We start from the raw sequence: 23,051 nt of genomic DNA, 5'->3' as shown, positions 1-23,051 counted from the left end.
TACATTCTGAGGTTCCAGGTGAATGTGAATTTGGGGTAAACATGGATCTACCAAAGACAGTAACCAATAAACTATTGGTTCCATTATTTTACCAATCACTAGATATAATATTTTGCTGATAGAAAAAAAAAGTAATGCTGGGCATGAAAAAAACTTGCTCATTGGTATTACTGTGTCTCTTTAACAGGTTAAATAGAGGGACAACACGGAAATCTACCATGGATCTTCACATCTTAAAAGTTTTATTTTAGGCAGCATTATCACATTCAATGACAGTCTTACTGTGCTTAAACACAAAGATATTTGATTCACTGACATGTACCAATAGATGATTGAGAAATACCAAAAGTTGTTAAATTCTTCAGGGCTTATACTGGCTTTGGAAGTTATTTTTTAGCAAAACCTATAAAATTCTGTGATTTTCTTAGAGTGATTCCATGACTTTTTTATTGCCAGTTTTATTTAGAATGCTCATTTAACATGTCAAACCCACCTTCAGAAATACTCATAGCACAATCAGCTACATTTGTTTCTTTAAATAATTTTATCTTATTCCTGACTATGAGAAGAGATGGTATGCCTTCTGGCTCTTTCAATGAGAATTGCTTACACTAATTTGGTCAGGTACTGTCAAATGGCAGTACTCCAGATTTATAAATTAATTCAGATCTACACAATAAATTCTCTCATTGCCATTTCTGGGCCATGACATCATTCAGGAGACATACACAAACCCATCAACATTTGCTTATGCTTGACCTTTCACACCATTCATGGATATCCTTCTTGTCTTTCATGATTAGCAACACATTTTTGCTCTGCATATTTTTACCTTTTGCTGAAGGAGACTGAAATACATAGGAAATATGGCTCTTACCTATGCACCTAGTCTTTTTGTACTGGAATGTATACTTTCTATTGAGTAGACTTCTCTGCCATATTGCACCTTACCTTGTCACCTAAGGTAGGGATTGATTGTACCTTTATGGACATTTCACTGAAGTGGTGATGAGCTGGCTCTGATGCAAACAACCAGGGGCATTAATTTTTTCAAAGCCACCACACTGAGGTAGAAGTAGCTGCCAAACATATCTCCTATGCCTATAATATTCATTTATTTATTCATTCTATATATTGAACACTTTGTGTCAGTCTCTGTCCTAAACGTTAGCTCTCTCTCTCTATATATATATATACACACACACACATAGATACACACACACATACACAAACATACATACATATATACACAAACATATATATATATATATAAACCTGGAAACAATACACAGTCTCTGCCCAAAGAGAGGGTATAATCTAGTGCAAAACTTTCTTATGTGCCCTGAATAGGTAACAGGTGTGTTAGTGCAGTGATCCACCTTAGCCTTCTGGGTGGCTTGGGTGGCTAGAGCCCCAAGGCTTATAATGTCCTCTTTTTACCAAAAACTCAATTTATTTTTTTCTGTATGTATGGTGATGTTAAAAATTTGGAGATGCCATAATCTAATGCAGTGTTTCCCAGAATGAAGTCTGATGGAATAGTCCCACAAAATGTTCCTCCAAAGAGCAGGGAGGTTCCATTGAGAAATGAGTCTAGAAGCACTACATAATGCTTGTCCCCTCCTGGCATCTCACAGTGTAAGTTAGCCTTTTAAGGGCTCTGAGGAAAGCAGCAGTAAAGAAACCAATATAATTTGGTTTAATCCACTCTATCCCAAATTTATTTGACTACAGAACCCCTTTTTCCCGTGAATTCTGCTACAGAAGTAGTCAGGCATCAACAGAGCTCCCCTCAGGAAACTCTGGTCTAAAGAGCATGTTCTATGTCCGTAAGGCCTGCAATTTAGAAGCACAGGTGGCCATTTGTCCTGCCCCATGAAACCAAAGAGATATTTCTCAACTTCTGCCTCTTCTATTCTGCTGTCAATACCCACTCTTTGTTTTAATATCATTTATCTCAGTTGCCACAGTGACACAAATAGTAATTTTGCCTCCAATTGTTTTCCTCTATTTGTCTTCTTTCCTGCCGCTGTTACCTTTCTTGTGACTTCATCTTTCCCACGGACTAGCTGAGCTGATATAGATATCACCAGTGGCCCAATGCTCCTTTACTCTCATCTGTAAATTGAAGCAATCATAAACATTGGTATAATCTGCACCTTTTCTCAGCTGTGTTATCTGTTCCTGTATTTGCAAGGATGCTTCATTTGCTTTCACACAGGGTGTTCTTGTTGTCAATTCTGTTAGTTATACAACAGAGTCATTAAAGAAGCCTGGAGATTTGAAAAAATTGGTCTCCAAATATCTGAGAATTGACAAAATCTAGAAATCTCTCACAGATGTTGGCACTTGTTACAGGCACACAGGCCATACATGGAGTGGAGTGTTCTCAAAAGAGACAAAGACATTCTAAAACAGAGTGAGTTTTCCAGGCTGACTACGAAGGGTAAGGAAGGCTTGGCAAGCTGAGGTCCCCTGAGGACTTCCCGTAACATCCAAGAGTGGATGCGGGAAGAGCAGCAGAGGGCAAACCATGGCTCACACACTCATAGACCACAGCGGAGACTGGCACTTTACAGAGAGGAGCTAAGATAGACCTGGGACCAGAAAGGTGGGCCACTGTAGGACAGTTATCAGGGGAAGGAAGGGGGATCCAGGGTGCAGGAAAGCCTAGCATCAGATAGCCAAAGCCTGCGAGAGGTAAGAAAAAATGGTGACGTGAGGTCAGGAACACCAGGCTGCACACTATTTGCACGTCAGAATCACCTAAAGCACCTTTTAAAAGACAGATCCAGGCCCCTCAGCTGGTAATTCTGATTGAGCTGATCAAGACCAAAGCCTGGAAATCTATTTTTCACAAGGGAAGGAGGTCAATCTGCACTAGAACAAGAAGCATTGCCCTTAAAATGGGAATTTTAGTGTACTATAATTCTATTTTATCCTTAAAATTAGCTATTTGTAAGAGATCATAGTAGAATTGTGTTTATACAAAACTCACAGATATATATATATCTATATACATACTTCTGTGAGGGGTGTCAGAGCATCAACAGCATCCTCTAAGATCCTGTGATGTCCAAATACAGTACTAAGGTGCTGTACCTATAATACCTATAAATTCTGCTCAGGTATCTAGCATTGCATAATATCCCCAACTGTGGCTATCTACAATTTCTAAACTGGGTAGTTCATTAGTGTTTAGAATTAAACATTAAACTTAAATATTCCATTTAAATAATACAAAACATTTCTAGCTATTAGAAGCACTTTTACTACCAATTTTATGGAACTTTTCAGTTTCCTTTTTTTTTTTCTCAGAAGTTCAGTTTTAAACCAGTTTTCATCGAGAATTTTACATTTCTTCTAGTGTCTTTTCTCAAGCACTTTTGAGACTGTGCTCAAGAAAGCCTATTGAAGAGTAAAAGCTATACCTCTGTTCCTTAGTTTAATAAATTATAAAAACCCCTCCAGTTCTTTTTAGGATGCTCTTGTAGAAAACCAAACTGATCACTAGTTTTATTTATCACAGTATCATCAAGTATATCTGTGCTGCTAATTGTGGTGTTTAGCATCTATTACCATAAAATACTTTTAAGTATGAGAATAAATGCATGGTTTTATTCTGAAGCTGACAAGTAAGGAAAATGTTTTATTAATTTAAAATACTAGTTTCTATTTTGAAATTCATTTGCCTGTTTTTTGTTTTGTTTTGCTTTTTTAAATAAAAGTTTCCTTCTGCCCTGAAAATTTTCAATATTCTCACTTCTGGACAATGCTATACACACAGTGTGAATGGCCAAATTAGAATCTGTTAATTCAGAATTGACCATACATAGTTCCACTGTGATTTTTGAGGTATGACATGCATACAAATGACAAATTTTTCCACCTAGAACTAAAGTTCCCATACTTCAATCTTTAAATGAAAGGGGTAATAAATTCTTCCTTTCAGGATCACACACATCCCTGGCTAACAGAAGTGATATTATTTTTAAAACTCGATGATCTGTTCATTTCTCCATTAGCCTCACCAGAAGCTGTGGAAAGAAGAAACCACATCCCCTTCTCTGGCTCCACTTCTCCAGGATCTGCAGCCACTCCCCTCTGGCAGATATTCTTTCATAAGGCAGTACTTACAGTCCCCTTTGACATGCCACCCTCACCTACAAAAAGTTGTTCCCATGAAGCAAAGTTAAGATTCCTTTTCTACTGCTTTTACTTTTGTATATTTTCTGGAAACTTCCCAATATCAGTAGAGAAACCTAGGGAAACATTCCTTTATTTTAAAAACTATGTATTCATCATCTTGTGCTATGTTCTGTGCTACGTACAGAGACTACGCAAGTTTTTTTTTTTTTTCTTAAATCAAATATATTACCAGCCTTTAAAAGGGAGTTTCTGAACTAACGTGTCACACAGACAAGTAAACAATAATGAAGATTTGGTGTGGATGGTGCCAGAATAGGAGAGTGGTTTTAGGTCAGAGGGGCAGTGAGCCCAGACTGAGGAGACAGAAGAGAACATTGCAGAAGTTTCTTAGAGGAAATAATGCCAAGGATGAGACCTAAGTGATGAGCAGGACTTTGGTAAACGAAAAGGAAGGAAAGTGAGCATTCCAGGCAAAGGGAATAGCATATGGGAAGTCCCAGAGGGGAGAGAAAAATTTCATATGATGAATGTAAGAAGATGCAGAAGAATTGCAAAAGGTGAGAATGGAGAAGCTGGGACTAGATTCTGAATTGCCTTCTGAGTACTGTTAGCATTTGGCTCATTAAAGGAACAGTGAGGAATAACTTGAGAATTATTTCTTTGGGAAGTTTTAAGGGCGATCAAAATGTACTCACGTTTTCTCTTCTAGAAAGATCACTCTGGCCTAGGTGGAAAACATATTTCGAGAGGGCAAAATTGGAGGCATGGTGATTTGCTGACATATGGTCTGACTTTAGTGAGTAGCAGTAGAAATGTAGAGAAATAGACAAATTTGGGAGATACTTAAGAAGTAGAAATCTTGGTGATTTACTCAGTTAGAATTTAAAAGTGAAACCCAGATTTCCTGTTTGGTCAATGAGTAGATAAATATGCCTGGGATAAGAAGCAGGGGAAGGAAGTGGGAGAAGGATCTGATGAGTTTGAGGTACCTGGGAGACCCTAGGAATGTTGATATATAGATATGAAACTCCATAAAAGTGTGATCACCTCATCACCTATAAAAAGTTGATCTGGGCTGACTAATCAATATTTGGAAGTCAGAGGCAGTAAAATGACAAATAAAGGCCTTGGGTGATGATGAGCTCTCTCAGGGAAAATGTTTAAACTGCAACAAGAGAAGAACCTTAGGGAAGTATCAACATTTAAGGAATCAGTTGGAAAATGGGAGCCTACACAGTAGACTATGAAGGACCAACCAAAAAGAACAAGAACTGGGTGGTATCATGGAAACCCAGGGAAGAGAGGGCTTCAAAAAGGAGGATGTGGTCAGCTGTAGTGAATATTACTGAGAGATTGTGATGGCTGAGGCCTGAGAAGAGACTACTAGTTTTAACAACAGTGTTGTTGGTAACATTGGTCATAATAGTTTCTCTGAAGGGGTGACCAGAGAGCTGCAAGAATGAGGAGAGGTGAGTGCAGAAGTGAAGAAAAGGAGCAGAGACAACACTTGTAAGTTTCACTGTAAATGGAATAAAGGAAACGAGGTCTACCAAGGGACATGGATTGAGAGGGCCTTTTTCATTTTTATTTTAAGAAGGAAGACACTTGAGTGTGTTGAAATGCTGATGGAAATGAGCAAAGAGTGAGGAAGAGTTGAAGATACAAGAACAAAGGGAGATAATTGACGGAGAGCCCTTGAGGATGATGGAGGGGTTGAGATTCATGAGGGATTGGCCCTAGACAAGGTACATGGGTTAAAAGGCAGAAAGAAAGAAAGAAAGAAAGAAAGAAAGAAAGAAAGAGAAAGAAAGAAAGAAAGAAAGAAAGAGAAAGAAAGAAAGAAAGAAAGAAAGAAAGAAAGAAAGAAGGAAAGAAAGGAAGGAAGGAAAGAAAGAAGGAAAGAAGGAAAGAAGGAAAAGGAAAAGAAAAAAGAAAAGAAAGGAGGAAGGAAGGAAGGAAGGAAGGAAGGAAAGAAAGACAGACAGAAAGAGAGAAAGAAAGAGAAAGGAAGGAAATTGTTTTTTAGAGTAGCAATAGAATCTAGGTGGGATAAAGAGTCAGGAGTCATCAAACACAAATGATAAATAAGATATGAAGGCCAGATGTTGTCGTGTATTTTTATAAGTTCCTAACTATCATACTGTACATATCACACTGGAAAGAGCCCTGACTTCGACAGCAATTCTGTTTACAAGTTGTGTAAATTACTAAGACAAGTAATTTAACCTACTTTAATTTCATTTTCCTAATCTATAAAAAAATGGAAATTTTATAAATCTACCTTGAAAGGCTATACTAAGGAATACATTTTGACCATGTTAAGTATTAACACAATGATGGTCCTGTTGTAAGATTCTCAAGTAATTTAAGACATAATTACTATCATCTTGTCTTAAGAATCAGTTTTCTTGATTGTCTTTAGAAGATAATAAGCAAAATCACTGAGCGACAACCAATAGCTTTAGCGTATGGATACACAACACATAGCATAGTGCCAGACACATAATAGCTACTCAAGAAATATTCATATAATAAATTACTGAAAGACAGCTTTGGTGTTCTATCTGTGTTATTCAGACCTTTGCTTTCACTATATTCCAGTAAATGCTCTAGCCTCAATCCTCTTCACTCTCTGCCAGTTAGTCACTTCAGGGTCACAGAAGAAAACGGTTACATCACCTGAGGAGGTTTGTCTTGACTATCCATTTCTGCACACGCAGCCTACAAAGAAGAAAACTGCTTGGCTCACATGGCCCAGAAGACTAGAGTAGATGGGACCTGACCCGTTGCTTCTTTCTTCTGTTACTTAGTGTCATTTTCAGCATTGTCACCAATGAAGCTCACTAAGAAAGGATGCCTGGATTAACCACAAGCAAATAATTTTGGCCAAAAATGCATAGATTTAGTTCAAGACAAAAAGGAAGAGAATAAATATATTCTTAGCATAAAATGGCTTCCCATGGCATTTTCTTTCTCTAAAGTTTATAGCAAACTTTGTCTCCTGAGAGCAGCTTGAAAGCAAGGAGATGCTGAGGGGAAAACTCAATGGGGAGAGCTGCAACAAATTGCCCCAGATAAGCTTAAGGCAACTCCAGCTCTGGACTCCCAAGAGGCTAATGAACCATAGATTCCTACCTCTTCCCAAGGCCTGATACTTACAGAAATGTTGTCAAAGACTTCTAAAGTTCCATTAAATACTGTATTTTTAAAAGGTCTTCAAACCAAGACCTGTAAACTGATAGGAGTTACCCACTTGCTGAGAGTTAATAGGCTCTGGACTGAGTGGTGAAGTTTGAAAAGGACCATTAGAGACAGAACACAACTTCTCCCAGCGGCCTGCTCTCTTCACTCTTCTGAGGGCTCTGCCATCGAAAGCCAGGCAGGGCATTGCCGAGTCAAAAAACAGAGCAAACAGCTAAGGAGCTACTTATTTTGCAATTAATAATAAAATTTTTTGAGGTCCAGGATTTCTAACTAAATCTACATGAGCCTTGTTATGCCAAATTATTGGATTATAATTGTATTTGGATGTCAAGTGAAAATGTTGCATACAAGTTTTTCTCCCAAGATTTTACAGATTTTTCAGTATTTATCTATGTAAATATATTACAAATAGAAACTGAGTTAATAAAAGCCCATGCAAATAATCATCCACTATTGTTGCATTTCAATTACTCCAGTCCCCAAATTACTATGTATATTTCAGATGCTGGTACTTTTTCCAATTTAAATTCTAGCAATCCCTGAATCATGTCATCAAGGCCTTGCCTGATAATCCAGTAACATGGAAATTAGTTTTCTTACACTTTATTTTAATTTTATGTTCAATAAGAATATTTATAGCATATGCAAGCAACGATAAGGATAATCACATTTCACATTTTATATTAGTGCCTATCAATGGTGGAATGAAGAGGAATTTCTGTTTGTTTGCATCCATCCTGTTCCCAACCCATACCACTGCCTCACTAGCAAAGTTTCTGATCCAAGTAGTTTCAATTATTTTTCTGAAAAAAATAGAATAATGTTCAACTTGCAGAAGAAATGTTAAATTTGTAGCAAGAATGTTGAAGGACTTGGTCTCTGTTTTGAAGTGTTATTTTCTAAGTCTTTAACAGAGATTAAATAACAAGAATGTTATGACTGGGTCTCTGCTCTTTACAAAACTTGAGAATTGATTGTATCCTTAAATTCTCTGTGTCCCTCATGCTAGGCTGTCACTTTTAACTAGCATTTTTATTTGAGTCTGTGTCCCAGAAGCTTTAAAAAGGAGAGACTCTTCTCATCTACTCGTATATGCCTTGCAGAAGCTATGACAGCAGGTGAGGTTATTGTGGAATCTGTTAAGTTGCAGGAACTCAGACTTCATTACATTCAGAACCCATTCAATAGGAATGCTTTTCTAGTCTTTAAAAAACTTGGATTGCAACTCAAGCTAGATATGAGGTTTTACTGCCTCATATGTTTATACCTGATAAGATAAGGAGAGGAAATCATAAGAACTGTATATCTTCTTTGAAACCAACTCTAACCAACAATGGGAACAATCATGACTTTATTTCTGTATTTATAATTTATTTCTGTCCCAGGCACAATGTAAATATAAGGAGAACAGAACAGTTTTTTCCTTTTCTAGTTAAATAAAAGTAGTTTCATTTTGCTTTGGAGAAATGGCAGTAAGTCGGGGAGGGTAAAATTAAGTAATTACAAAAGGTGTGTAAGAATATGAATATTTCAATACTGGAGTTTCCCTCTACTGTCATTACATGTAAAAAATAGCAAGATTACATAAACACATTCAAAACTGAAAATTTTTGTTTTTCTATAGAAGTATGACACATTTTGTGGACCAACAGCAAAAGATAGTTGAAAAGATAATAAACCAAACTGTAATACTCGCATGTGCGTGTCAAGATCATATGGGATGTTAAAGCATGATTTTAAAAATTGAACTTAGGTCCACTAAACAAAAGAAAGGCAATACATTACATAGTAAAGGTCCTCTCTGCTAGAATGTCTGAATTATAGACACAGTCAAAATTTAAGATATTTTATACCCTTTCAAAAGGTAGCATGTCCCATAATTAAGGCAAAAGTAATTTATTTTGTTTAATATATATAAATAATATCTCTATTTCTCTACGTCTTTCTCCTAGCGTATCAAAAATAATATTCTCTAGTAAATGTTAGTAAATATTCATGATTAATCATAAGTAAATATTAGCAATAGAAATAAATGTTACTTTCAGAATTCAATGAACTTAGAGCTCTGAAGTAATCTAACCGATATACATTAACAGTCTACAACATCCCTGAGAAATGGCCACACAGCTCCTTTCAATACCACCAGAAGCCCACTATTTTACAATGGAACTCACTCATTCTCCTACTGAACAGCTCTAGTTGTTTAAAAATATGCAGTGGAGATCTGCCCACCTAAAACATCCACTAAATTCCTGATGTTTCCTCTAGTTTAGGATCTTTTCAATTTTCTCAGAAACGCTTACACAGAATCAGACTCTTCTGTATGAATCAATGGCCTAAGAATTTGTATACATTTGCAATAAAGTCCTGATTAAAGTGGGGCATTACCAGAGAAATATCATTTGACCAGCCCCCAAAGGCCTCGCAGACTGTAGTGAACAACGGGTAGGGTCTAGTTCTCTGGTCTATACAGCACAAGTTTGACCTTAAAAAACTTCAGAATTGAGTGGGATGAAGATGACATGTGACCCCCTCAAAAAATAAACAGAAATTCAGAACTAGTCAATTCTCTGAAATGAAATATGTTAACTGTTAAATGGGTAAGATATTCATGTTGTTTTGTCAAAGCCATTCCAATGTGAAGGCTACATAGAAGTCGAATTATTTTAAGAATGACTAGACAACAGAGCATCAGAACAAGAGAAATGGGTTAACTGAATAAATATTTAATAGCATCAGAAACTAATAACCTGGTGCATCTATCTCTGCACCTGGGACTCTGGGTTGGCTAGTTCAGGCTGGTTTTTTAAGACACACCAACTTGGGCTGGGTGTAGTGACTCACGACTGTAATCCCAGCACTTTGGGAGGCTGAGGCAGGTGGATCACTTGAGGCCAGGAGTTCAAGACCAGCCTGGCCAACATGGAAAACCCCCATCTCTGCTAAAAAATACAAAAAGTTAGCTAGTCCCACATGCCTATAGTCCCACCTAAGAGGGAGGCAGAGACACGAGAATCACTTGAGCCCAGGAGGTGGAGGTGGTAGTGAGCCAAAATCACGCCACTGCATTCCATCCTGGGTAATAGAGTAAGACTCTCAAACTAAAAAACAAAGACACACCAGCTTGGAGAGCACTTGGATAGATAATACAACTTAACTTTCAGGACTTCTTTGGCCAACCTTTAATCTTTGTCCAAAGGAAAACATTCTCTTTTTTAGAAATATGGATAGATTTAGTCAAATTTTACACTGTAATATTTCTGCTTTGATCCATAATGTGTTCCTTTGATAGATTAATTATCTAAACAACATCTTATTTTCAACTTTTTAGGGAAAGGAATACAGGGGCAATGGTAAACACATACACACACATGTACATACTGGACTGTATTGATTTAAGTCTGAACTGCTAAATCTGGCTTTGCCCCCTTTCTACCCACTTAACCTTACTTGACTTGCAGTAAGGTAAGGCCTCACCATTTGCCATTCTCTGTCTCTTTAGCTTTCCCTGTTTCTTTCCCTGCAAGCACCAGGGTAGAAACAATATGAGTAGCTGTACTATAGAACAGCCCACTTCAATAGCTCTTGACTGAAGTGTTGACTAGCAATGGGCATGGAGCCCTATTAGCTCTGCTGCAGATAACTCAGATTGTATCAGAATTGTTTTTTCAAAGGGTCAGGAACTCTCTAGAACAAACCATTTGTAAACATTTAAACAGGAAACTAGTTGAGGATTTTAAACACAGACATGAAGAGTTTCTACCATAGCCTTTTATCTATTTTAGAAGAAAGAGCACAACCCTTACATTAAACCTCTTTTTAAATGGAGGACAGAGAAATCAATGTCTAAATCATAAGCTACTGAAGGAAACATGCAGACTTCCAGAAATATATAATTTTTATATAATTTAAAATGTTTTAATGCTTTGTTATTGCTTAATACCTACTATACATAAACATTAAGATCACAAACACTATGGTTCATATACATGTTTGTTTGGATATTAGATTTCTGTGTTTCTACTCTTAATATACTAAAATCTTGTTTCTAAAATATGTCTATTGCATTACTAGCAGTGGTTATATATTCAGGTTTTCAATCAACTGATTTACTTGGTTGGATTGACTATAAATTTGTTGACATATATTGATGATTCCTCATTTTCTTGCCCAGAGATCATTTCTTCTACTAATTTATTTTCAATCTCTCTGCTTTCTTATTTGACAGTATCCTATGAGCAGCATAACAGAGCACTCCAAGCTCATAAGGAATAGTGTAAACTAATTAGCAGATTTTACAATGGAAACTATTCCCTACCCATGTGATCACCCTGGCTGGATAATGAACTTTGTGAAAATATCCATCTCTTACCACACTAAGGCAGCAGCCTCATTCAGACAAGCTCTTATTTTTCCCTTATACTTCAGTTCATAATTGTGAATATGGCACGAATCCAGAAACAAACTGTCAGTATGGGGTGAGGTACAGTGTTAAAAATAAAATAGACTAAAAACCGGATTTTCACTTTAAAAAATTCTTGACATTCTTTTGTAACTGACAGAAAGAAAAATAGTCCTAATAAGATGTGTTTGGAAAATACTATATCTGAAAAGACAGTGTATAACTGAAATTTAGGGAAGTCACAGAAAATTTCCCTGCATGCAGGTGTTCAGAAGCACTGAGGGGTTATTAATGAACCATAGAAGTGTCGAATAGTTTGTTATGGGAAGAAGGTCCAGAAATAAAAGTGAAAATCAGAGCTGGTTCATTACACCAGCAGTGTGACTGGCAAACCCCACTGCTAAAGTCTCCTTTAAACAGCAGGTGCATGGTTTGATCGCTATAGTGTGTAGCCCCCGGCCCTGGCACAGAATGAACACAGCCTCCTCCATGGGTTCATGAACTGCCCCGCTTCCATTTTGGTCACACGTTCCCATGTGGGAAATTTCACCCAACACTACCCACTTTAATTTTGGTGTATTTGCTTACTGCAGCTGCACTTGCTACCAAAAACATTATACCACAAAATTCCAAAGTAACTTCAAAGAAGAGGGAAGAAACCAAAAAAGTTCTATACATTCTTAGTTTTCTCCATGGAAGTGGTATGTTCAGTTAAATAGCTGCTATCGATGTGCAAATACTGTAATTCAAACAAAAAAATCACCAACCATCCTAGCTAAAGAGACACAGATAAGAAACAAACTAATGATTTAAATGTCATCTACAGGCTCTCTAGTATCTTGATGGTAAATCCCTTACAAATTTGGGTGTGTAACATAAAATATTGCCCATCATAATGATGCATATAAATATCTCTACACAAGAAAGCACTATACATCTTTTACAACTTTTTTCAGACTTTGTTTTGCAGATGGCATCTGGATCTTAAAGATGTATAGATATTTTGCAGCTCTGTTTAATCATAAATAATAGATTTGTCTGATTCGCTAATACCAGAGGCATGTTTTTTTCTTCCAATGAATATGCTTATCATCCGTGACTGCTAATAATAAAACCTATACCCTTATATGGAAATAAACCATTTCATAAAAATAGGAATTCATTTGCCATTTTCCATTACTGCTGACTAATTACTAGGGTGTTGAAGAGTACCTTCAGATTGAAGAGTGTCTTCAGATTGAGTTCATAAAAGCTATATTTCTCATGTGTTTGGGCAGAAATTTTCAAGAATATCATATTTCAGATTTAGGGAAAACTCAAAAGTTTTATCATAAAATGAACATATTAAGACTCAAAAGACACTTAAATATGGCATTACAAATATGAAGCAAACGTTTTTGGACTAACAAAGGTCAAAAAATTTCAAATATCTATGAAAACATGGCAAAACAAGTAGAACATGTTGTAATGGCAGGCAAAAGTGTTCACTTTAGAATCCACGTTTATTCGTTATCGTAAGTTTAGGTTTCACATAGCATTGTTAATACAGGCCAAATATGCATTTAAATACACTTACAGTATTCAGTGTATACTATGTGAATATCTACATAAGTGATTTTGAAATAACGTTTTCTTATTTAATAGGTTTATTGTGGCAACAAAAAAATGTGTGGATGCTAGTGAAAATCATGTTTGCAGTAGATTTTAAAAGCCTGAAAGAATACATTTGTTGAAATTTGCATTCGGTTTGGAAAATGTGTGTTTAACAATTGAACACGGCCATATTTTAACTTTTAAGCTTTCGTATTGCGAAAGTATCAAGGTATTACAGCAATTTACTCTTAAGGACATTATGCTGGGCTTTGAAATTTAAAAAATAGGATATTTCTTCTTGGAGTATTTCATGATCAATGTACGGTCCCTATGTGAGGAAAATTAAAGCTGTCTGACAAGTCCTAGAAACACCACTAGCTGTTAAAGATGTAGGAAATTGCATGAAAGCATAAAAAGCACTGGGTAATTTTGCAAATTTCATCTCTAAACACAATTGTAAAGACGTCTTTCAGTTCTTTCTTCCTCTTATTTCTGAAGCATAGCCCTTTAGTTCTTGCCCTTTTAAATATCTTTGCCTACCATAGCTTTGCTTCTTAATGTACTGGTTGATCTTACCAGGCTAAGTATTTACAGGGGGTGCTTACTTTTATCTGTATTCACAGAGAATGCTAACAAATTAGAAGAAAGTGCCAGAGAACACCACATACCTTGTCCGGAACATTACAATGGCTTCTGCATGCATGGGAAGTGTGAGCATTCTATCAATATGCAGGAGCCATCTTGCAGGTAACATTTTTACTCGCAAGAATAGTTAATGTATAAAGTTAATATGTAGAAACTAAATTGTAGATGTTTATAGAAAATTGGTAGACATTCTTCTTGAATGGGTAATCAGCAACAAAACTTTTCTCTGCTCCTCCTGTGCATGCATACACACATACACACATACTCACACACTAAAAAAAAACAAAAATATGTGCACCTTACACACTCAAGTACTATATAACACATTACTGAACTGTTCTAGAATTTGAAATTGTACTTTGTGCATTATAAGCTCCTTAAAGGTACAAGTTCCTCCATATTACCACTCTTTCTCCTGAACACAGAATAGTTGCTCAATAAGTATTTATCAGACAAATGAATGGATGAAGCCTTATGTATATTAGATTGCATAGTTGCTTCTCAGAGTTCATCTTTTCCTAAGTCCTTCAGGTCTTCTCATAAATATCATCAATCCTTGTTTTGCCAGGCATTCACTATTTTCTATAGATCTGCTCTCCCATGGAGCCGTGCAAAGTGAAATCATTAGCCATACCCCCCCAGTTTCAAACTCAGTAGAGACACAAAGAAGTTGTTTATCTGGATTTAGTTTATAAATATAAATACTGGCCAGGCATGATGGCTCACACCTGTAATCCCGCATTTTGGGAAGCCAAGGTGAGAGGATCACTTGAAGCCAGCCTGGGCAACAAAGGGAGATCCTATCTCTAAAAAAAAAAAAAAAAAAAAAAAATTAAGAATTAGCCAGGCACGGTGGCATGCAACCTGTAGTCCAGGAGCTACTTGAGAGCTGAGATGGGATGATCCCTTGAGCCCAGGAGTTCAAGCCTGCAGTGAGCTATGGTCACACCACTACACTCCAGCCTGGGCAACTGAGCAAGACCCCGCCTCTTATATATATATTAATATATATGTATTTAAATACCTACTGTATGTCTAAAATATAATTATTTCAGAGATGGCAAAGCCAAAATGAAAACATAATTTATTTTTATTTTTATTTACATTAAGTACAAGTGACATATGATGAAATAGATTGTATTTTCATTTACAACAGAAGATTTCTCTCTCTCTCTCTCTCTCCCTCTCTCTCCCACTCTTCCTCCCTCCCCCCTCCCCGCCCCCCACCTAGAGCTGTCTTCCTTTCATGTTTTCCCTCCACAAAATATACTAGCACAGGCCTTCAACTGAAGTAAGGCAGAGTGAACAAAACTGAGAAGTTACTCTTGCTACCCCCTCACTCCCCAGCAGTGTCATTATTATTAAACCCTTCCTGATGGAGAGAAAAAATTTCTCAGGATGTAGTTATGAGAAATTCAAAGTGAAGTAATAGAATAGTTCCACAAAATCAATGATATGTTGATCCTCTTTAAGTATTGTTTTCTTATGAGCTATTTTCTCATTTCATTGACACATGCTAATTTTCCTATGTAGATTGTCTACCTGAGCTTTCCATGAGGGTTGAGTGAGAGGAGGCAACATTCATTCTCAGATGAACAATACCTCGTCTTGTTTTGCAGAACTATGTTGCCTACGTCATACTTACTTTTTTCTAACAAAATTTGACTCTATCATCAGCAGATGATTTTTTTGACCAGAAAATTAATGACTCATCCTGTAACTCTGATCCTAATATTTCTCAACATTTATTCTGACAATGGCATAGAGAATGTTTCATCCAAAACAGACTAATTTTTGTACCCATGTCATCAGAAACACATATTTTTTCAAGTAAACATGTTGACTTAGGTTGATTAAAGAGCAAATTAAATAAAATGTAAAGCTCACCTTCCAGAAAATATAGAAATAACAGTCATTCCTGGACATGTATTATCTCTCTATATTGTCACCAAAAACAAATTATCTAGTAATCCTCCTACCTTTGAAATTATTATCATAAATGTAAAAGGAAACCACATATCTGATAACCGAGAAACACAAAGACATCTTGTTGAAAATAAGTAGTTGAGAGCCATAGCCACAAAGTAATATTTATTTAGAAAGGGACACAAAAAGCCCTAATTTTGTGATGAAAATAAATGCCCATCAATCAACTATAAAAATGAATGCAGGCCGGGCGCGGTGGCTCACGCCTGTAATCCCAGCACTTTGGGAGGCTGAGGTGGGCGGATCACGAGGTCAGGAAATCGAGACCATCCTGGCTAACAGGGTGAAACCCGGTCTCTACTAAAAATACAAAAAATTAGCCGGGCATAGTGGCGGGCGCCTGTAGTCCCAGCTACTCGGGAGGCTGAGGCAGGAGAATGGCGTGAACCCGGAGGCGGAACTTGCAGTGAGCCGAGATGCGCCACTGCACTCCAGCCTGGGCGACAGAGCGAGACTCCGTCTCAAAAAAAAAAAAAAAAAAAAAAAATGAATGCAGCACCCTACAGGTAACTGGGCACTATAATTTCTTCCAGGTGTGATGCTGGTTATACTGGACAACACTGTGAAAAAAAGGACTACAGTGTTCTATACGTTGTTCCCGGTCCTGTACGATTTCAGTATGTCTTAATCGCAGCTGTGATTGGAACAATTCAGATTGCTGTCATCTGTGTGGTGGTCCTCTGCATCACAAGGTCAGTAACAGCACTTGGTGGCTACCCAAATAAAGGGATATATTGTTACTCTTTTATTTAATCAGATCCCTCCGAGGTGAGTTCCTTCATGGACTCTGCAGCCATCCATTCTCTATGAGTCCTATGTCCTTAGCATAAGAGTATTTGAATAGCCAATGGAGTGGTACAATAGCATATTGGGGTGGTACAAATTATTTTCCTTAATTTTGCCTGATGATAAAGATTGTTTTTTTTACCTGCTTGAACTAGTATCCTTATCTACCTGGATTAGTATCCTTATGTATCTGAATCAGTTTTAACATATCTTGGTATAATAACAAACACATTTTTATCTTAGGATGACAAAATAGTTTTCAGTCACAAAATGCAAAAATACAAGTAGTTGTACTTTTATGGTAAATGAAAACCTTAGATACAGAAAAACATGCAGCAAATATCACAACAACCTTTTATATCAAATTCCCAGCCTAATCAAAAGGTAATTGTTTCCTGGAGAATCAGGTTAAAAGACACAGGGGTTTCCTTTAGTTTCAACAGAAAAGAAAACCATGATTAATTAGCAATGTCTGACGTTGGGCTTGGAGTAAAGGAATGAGGCCAGTACTTGCTTAATTTCATTTGCATGCAAACCAGTGGTAACCAAGAATTGGACTTCAAGCCAAATGCAAACCAACCAAGAATTGGACTTTAAGCAAAATGCGTATCATTTATGTTCTGTGTAACCAGAAAAGTCATTGAAGATAGTCCTTACTGACTTGATTTCACTCTTCTATAAAAAGTTCCAAGGAAGTTTTTAAGATTTTCACCAAATTCACAAGGCGTTTAGACTTTCTTCATTTGTGCAGCTCTCCAGTAAATCAGAATGTTTCTCTAAAAATTGTTTTGAACAGATACAAAAATAAAAGAAAGTATCGTATCTTTAGAAAATAAGGGTCATAATGCATTTCAGTATGGTATTGCACAATCTTCTTTGAGGACAAGTGTGGCATTTGCTCTTGAAAAAGACAAAATATGGTTCATAAATCCTCGCCTGGCCTCAAGGCTTAAGGGCAGGTCATTGACTAAAGCTTTGGGCTGCTCTAAGCCGAGTTGAGTTCATCAACTCGACTCTCACGTTTAGATGCCAAGTGATTATATTAAAATAGATTCTGGGGAACATAAGGATTACAAGAAACCAAAAATACTGCATATAAAAAGAAAAAGAAAAGAATCTAAAACATAGGAAACTATGCCATATTACTCTAATATCTAGCCAATATCAGTACATGAAAAACAAAACCTATATTTAATGGATATAATCTCAACAATTTGATTGCTACTTCGACTACTGACACAAATGCAAAACTGTAAATACTTTAGCTCATGTTTTCAATTCTGTTATGAATCACAGTTGCATTCCCATACATAATAAAAGCAACAGAAATATACAGGGTCCTTTCCTCACTAGGAATTGTGTAAGCACATATTATGTGTGTGTATCGTATATGTGTATACACATATACACACATATATATGCACATTTAATAACATTACAAAGAAGAAACAATTATCTCCACTTTCAAGATAGAGACCCTGAGGTAGAAGTTGGCAAATTGCTGACTTCACACAGCTGAGCAACAAGGGCAGCAATGGTGTCCAGGTGGCCTAGTGCCAGAGCCTGGACACTTCACCATGCTCATACTGCACTGTGTCTGGGAAGGATTTTGTGTATTCTGCTGCTCAAGATTATCTAAACTGAGCTCCAAATTAGAGTAAGCTATTTTTCCAAGGCACATAGACTTACTCATTTTCCATGTTATAATAAAATAAAACCTGTCCTCAATTTATTGGCTTTTGAGGGGAAGGCATAGCACATAAACTGTATTAGTATTTTGTAATGCCTTTTACAAATCTGCCTTAAGACCACCAAACCTTCTAGAGCCTTTCCAGGATTCATACTAGTCAATAAAGCACACCAATTCCCAGTGTGGATTCATTTCACTCACCTGAAAACATTCTGCTCTGAAACCAGACTTTCCAACTAGGCTGTCTGTCTCCAAACCCCAGAAACCCTACTTTCCTGATGACCTGGCCACATTTGTCTGTCAAGACCTATTTCAAAATAGGTCTTGCTAAAAGATTTACAAAATTGCAACAAGCAGAAGTCCTCCCATTTCCTTTGATTTTTCGTCTTCCTCATCTGGTCTCTCCTGTCTTCTACATCTCTCTTCTATCTCTTCTCCTTCTTTCTACTTTCTTTTTTTAAAAAAATCTTTTCTCTTTTGCATCACTATTTTAGCCAAACACCTGCCCTCCTCCTAAACACCACATGTGTCACAAAAAGTATGGACATTTGGAGACATGTTTCAAAATGAAGAGTTGCCCTGTTGAGAAGTTGGATTTTTGATCTTTTTATCTCTAGCTGCCATTTGCTGGGAATGTGATTTCAGCTCCATGTTCTCTTTAACAGATCTATCCTCCCTCTAAAACTATACATATATATATTTATATACACATACATACACACACACACATACATACACATAAACCCACATATACACACGTGATATATATGTGTATGTATATTCATATATTTTTATATATTCTGATACTTCACAGATTATTATAATAGAATTTTATATGAACTTTCCACTATTCTCATTTGCATAGTCAAAGCATTTTTTGTTACAAGAGAAAAAAGTCAGACATTTTCAGATAATTTGACTGAATATTAGATTTTTATAGATGCTAAATAACTGGTACCAATTTATGTCCCTAATTTATACTAGTAATGTACAAAAATGATATTAGGCTGGTCCAAAACAATATTCCTTTCCATTACATATCAGATATTAACAGTTGGTTCATTCTCTGGTTTGATAGGATTTAAACTCATAACATTGAAAAGTCAATATAACATTCATTCTTAGGACATTTGAAATATAAAATTGTTGAAGACCTTTAAAGTGAGATAAAATGGGCCCATGACTTGCTTGATTGCATTGTGCTGAGTCATTCTTTGTGCCTTAATGAGTAAGCAGTTAAGGACAAAGTAAATGTCTTCCTCTTCAACTTCTGCCTGTGTTCAATTCCCAACAAAAATTTAAAGACAACTGCACAGAAAAGCAAAATAATAACTTTTCCAAAATAATCCAAGCTTCTACTAATGATAAATTCTTTCATCTGAAATATTTTAATAATTTGCTTAATCCACATCTTTATTCTGTGATTGTAGGGCCAAACTTTAGGTAATAGCATTGGACTGAGATTTGTAAACTTTCCAACCTTCCAGGAAATGCCCCAGAAGCAACAGAATTCACAGACAGAAGCAAAATACAGGGCACTACAGTTCAGACAATACAACAAGAGCGTCCACGAGGTTAATCTAAAGGGAGCATGTTTCACAGTGGCTGGACTACCGAGAGCTTGGACTACACAATACAGTATTATAGACAAAAGAATAAGACAAGAGATCTACACATGTTGCCTTGCATTTGTGGTAATCTACACCAATGAAAACATGTACTACAGCTATATTTGATTATGTATGGATATATTTGAAATAGTATACATTGTCTTGATGTTTTTTCTGTAATGTAAATAAACTATTTATATCACACAATATAGTTTTTTCTTTCCCATGTATTTGTTATATATAATAAATACTCAGTGATGAGAAAAAATTGGCATTCTTAAATTTGCGGTATCTCATAACTGTAAATATAATCAGACTAGTACAATCTGTACAGCTACCAATATTTCATGTTTCTTCTCATCTTGAGACAGCACATTAGTTCGTACAGGACTCAGTGGCTAGGTTTTGAATGATTCCAAGATCAAGGGAAATGATGGTTATTGGAAAAGAGAAAAAATAATTTACTTTATATCGAGTGAGGATAAAATATTTCCGATCTTTGAATCATCTCTATTTCATCAACTTTCTTCCCTGGTCTTCCATTTTCATCCCTAGAGCAGAAAAATCTCTGGCATATAAACTAAATAAAAGAAGAAGGGGAGGGAAAGTGTTTTATAACTCATAAAGGAGAGGGAAAGAAAATATTGGTTTTTATTGGGGAAGTAGCTTAGAATCCCCCAGTTAAGTGCATATATCTGAACTTACTGAACAAGTTACATACTAGGTATACACAGAGTGGCAAAATATATTCCATTTAGGTGGGTGGAATTACCAGGGGAAAAATGTAATAACACCACTAGATGTGAAACACCAAAATCGTGAATTCTCAAAAGCACCATACAATATGTATAGTATATAGTTCTTTGAAAAGAAGTTAGAATCACAACCAATACCCCATGAATAGCTTTGTGGCTAATGCAGCACCATAATTTGTAATGGAACTAAGATGATGATGACGATATTTCATGAAAACAGAGAGATGTTTTGAGCATATTTATGTGGTGAGGTAAGAAAGAAAATTAATCCTATAGCATCTGAAAGACCTCACTGGGAAGTTGGTATGGATTTTTGTTTGATTTGTGCATACAAATAGGTATCACAACTTGATCTGGAAAAAATAAGCTGTGAAAATTCTCAAGGAATAAGATGAAAATAAATCAATTATTATCATTTAGCTCTGCAAAGCTTTCCATGGCTAACACAGTAAATTTAAATAAAGCTCTCTTTGTCTCCTTCAAATAACCTGTGCGTGGACTTTAAAAAAAAAAGGACACTCCAAATATCAAATCAACATATTCTGAATATAAAATATTCAGTGAAAATTTATTTTCTGAAATGATGTTTGTTTAAAATACTCGTTAAAACATAAATAAAGGTGACAATCTAAGTAGGATTTAGGACTCTGAAAAACCTGGTTTTCTAGATTAGTCATCACTGTGAAAAGTGTGACTCTATTGGCACAACCATCACTCAAATGTTCCCATAAATCTGCCCTATACCACCTGTACAAGACAAATTCCTTTTCAACTTCTTCGTGGAAGTTTAGTTTGGTTAACAGATAGAAAGATGTAACGAGCCAGGGTCTCCTTTGTAAGATACTTGTGACAAAGAAACCCTTCCTCCCCATAAAGGAAGAGGAAAAAATGCAACATCCACAGAGACTTATAGAGATTAAAAGAAAAAATTCCACTGACTCTTGCTTGTAGGAGGGTGAAATGATTTGACTTGTTAGATATGGATGCATTGCTGTATGTGAATTTTTATCAAATGATCATAAACCTAAGTCCTTGGAGTTCATAGTACAATACACTCTTGCCCATTTCCATGCTCACCCAACCCATGAAGGAATTCCTTTTAAAAGATGCATGACAATCTTAAGTGAGCACATACTATGTGAGAGGCACTATTTAAGGTCCTAGGGAAATACAAATAAAACATGGTCTCTGCTTTAAAAAAAAAAAAAAAAAAAAAAAAAAACTCACAATCTAGAACTAACAGATAATCACCCAGCCTCTACTGGCATATTTCTGATAATCTGGAATTTCATCCTTGGGCAATTATAATTTTTCAGACAATTCTTTCTTATATCAAGATGATGCTTATTTCTACGTGGTTTCTACCCAGGGCTCCTATTTTTTCTCTTGGGAGCAAAGGAATAATGACTTATGAATTTAAAATAAAAAGACAGAAATCATGTTTTCCCATTCACCCCACAGCCTTCCTGCAACTCTCTTCATCTCCAAGTGAAACATCCTTAATTTCCTCATCTGTTCTTCATGTGATATCACTTCCACATCCCCCTAGCATCTGCATCATCCTTCCTTGGACAAATTCTCCTTTATCATTATATTTCTTTGAGTGTAGAGCTCAGAATTGCACAGTCTACTACAGTTGTCTGACCAGCACGCTATATAGCAGAACTTGTAGAAAGCAAGTTTAATTGAGAGCTGTGATTCTTAAATTCATGTTCTACTTAGACCTGCAATTTTGCTGTGGAACCATGAACAAGCCATTTCATATCTCAGATCTCAGTTTCTTCGTCCATAAGATCACTTCTGTCTCTCTATCAAGATTCTATATATTCAGGAAAAAGGCACTATACTTATATTATTGCTACCAAGGACCATATTAACTACTTTTATTGCTTATCCTCAACTTAAATTCAAAATCCTTTTAAAGTAAACTGCTAATGGCCAGGCGTGGTGGCTCACACCTGTAATCCCAGCACTTTGGAAGGCCGAAGCAGGTGGATCACTTGAGTCCAGGAGTTCAAAACCAGTCTGGCCAACATGGCGAAACCCTATCTCTACAAAAAAAAAAGCATACAAAATTAATCAGGTATGGTGGCGCCACCTGTAGTCCCAGCTACTTGGGAAGCTGAGGCAGAGAATCACTTGAACCTGGGAGGCTAAGTTGCAGAGAGCCGAGATTGCGCCACTACACTCCAGCCTGGGTGAAAGAGCAACACTCTGTCTCAACAAATAAA

General features: G+C 36.4%; 1 protein-coding gene and 1 long non-coding RNA gene across 5 annotated transcripts in view; one reads left to right on the top strand and one right to left on the bottom strand.

Moving 5' to 3' along the window:
• TMEFF2 (transmembrane protein with EGF like and two follistatin like domains 2) overlaps positions 1-21,304 on the top strand; it is a 245,888-nt gene extending 224,584 nt beyond the window's left edge. For 2 of the 4 annotated variants that reach the window (XM_011510890.4, NM_016192.4), the window contains 3 exons: positions 13,972-14,095; positions 16,513-16,671; positions 19,943-21,304. In XM_011510890.4, coding sequence (XP_011509192.1) covers positions 13,972-14,095; positions 16,513-16,671; positions 19,943-20,039 — 380 coding nt within the window. In that variant the 3' untranslated portion in view covers positions 20,040-21,304. Of the gene's footprint in view, positions 1-13,971; positions 14,096-16,512; positions 16,672-19,885 lie in introns of all 4 variants that reach the window. The other 2 variants (XM_017003739.3, NM_001305134.2) reach the window with 1 other exon arrangement.
• CAVIN2-AS1 (CAVIN2 and TMEFF2 antisense RNA 1) overlaps positions 1-23,051 on the bottom strand; it is a 217,342-nt gene that overhangs the window by 93,480 nt on the left and 100,811 nt on the right. The window lies entirely within an intron of this gene.

This window comes from Homo sapiens, chromosome 2 (assembly GCF_000001405.40).
Source record: "Homo sapiens chromosome 2, GRCh38.p14 Primary Assembly".
NCBI lineage: Eukaryota > Metazoa > Chordata > Mammalia > Primates > Hominidae > Homo > Homo sapiens.
This window is presented reverse-complemented; position numbering and strand designations above follow the sequence as displayed.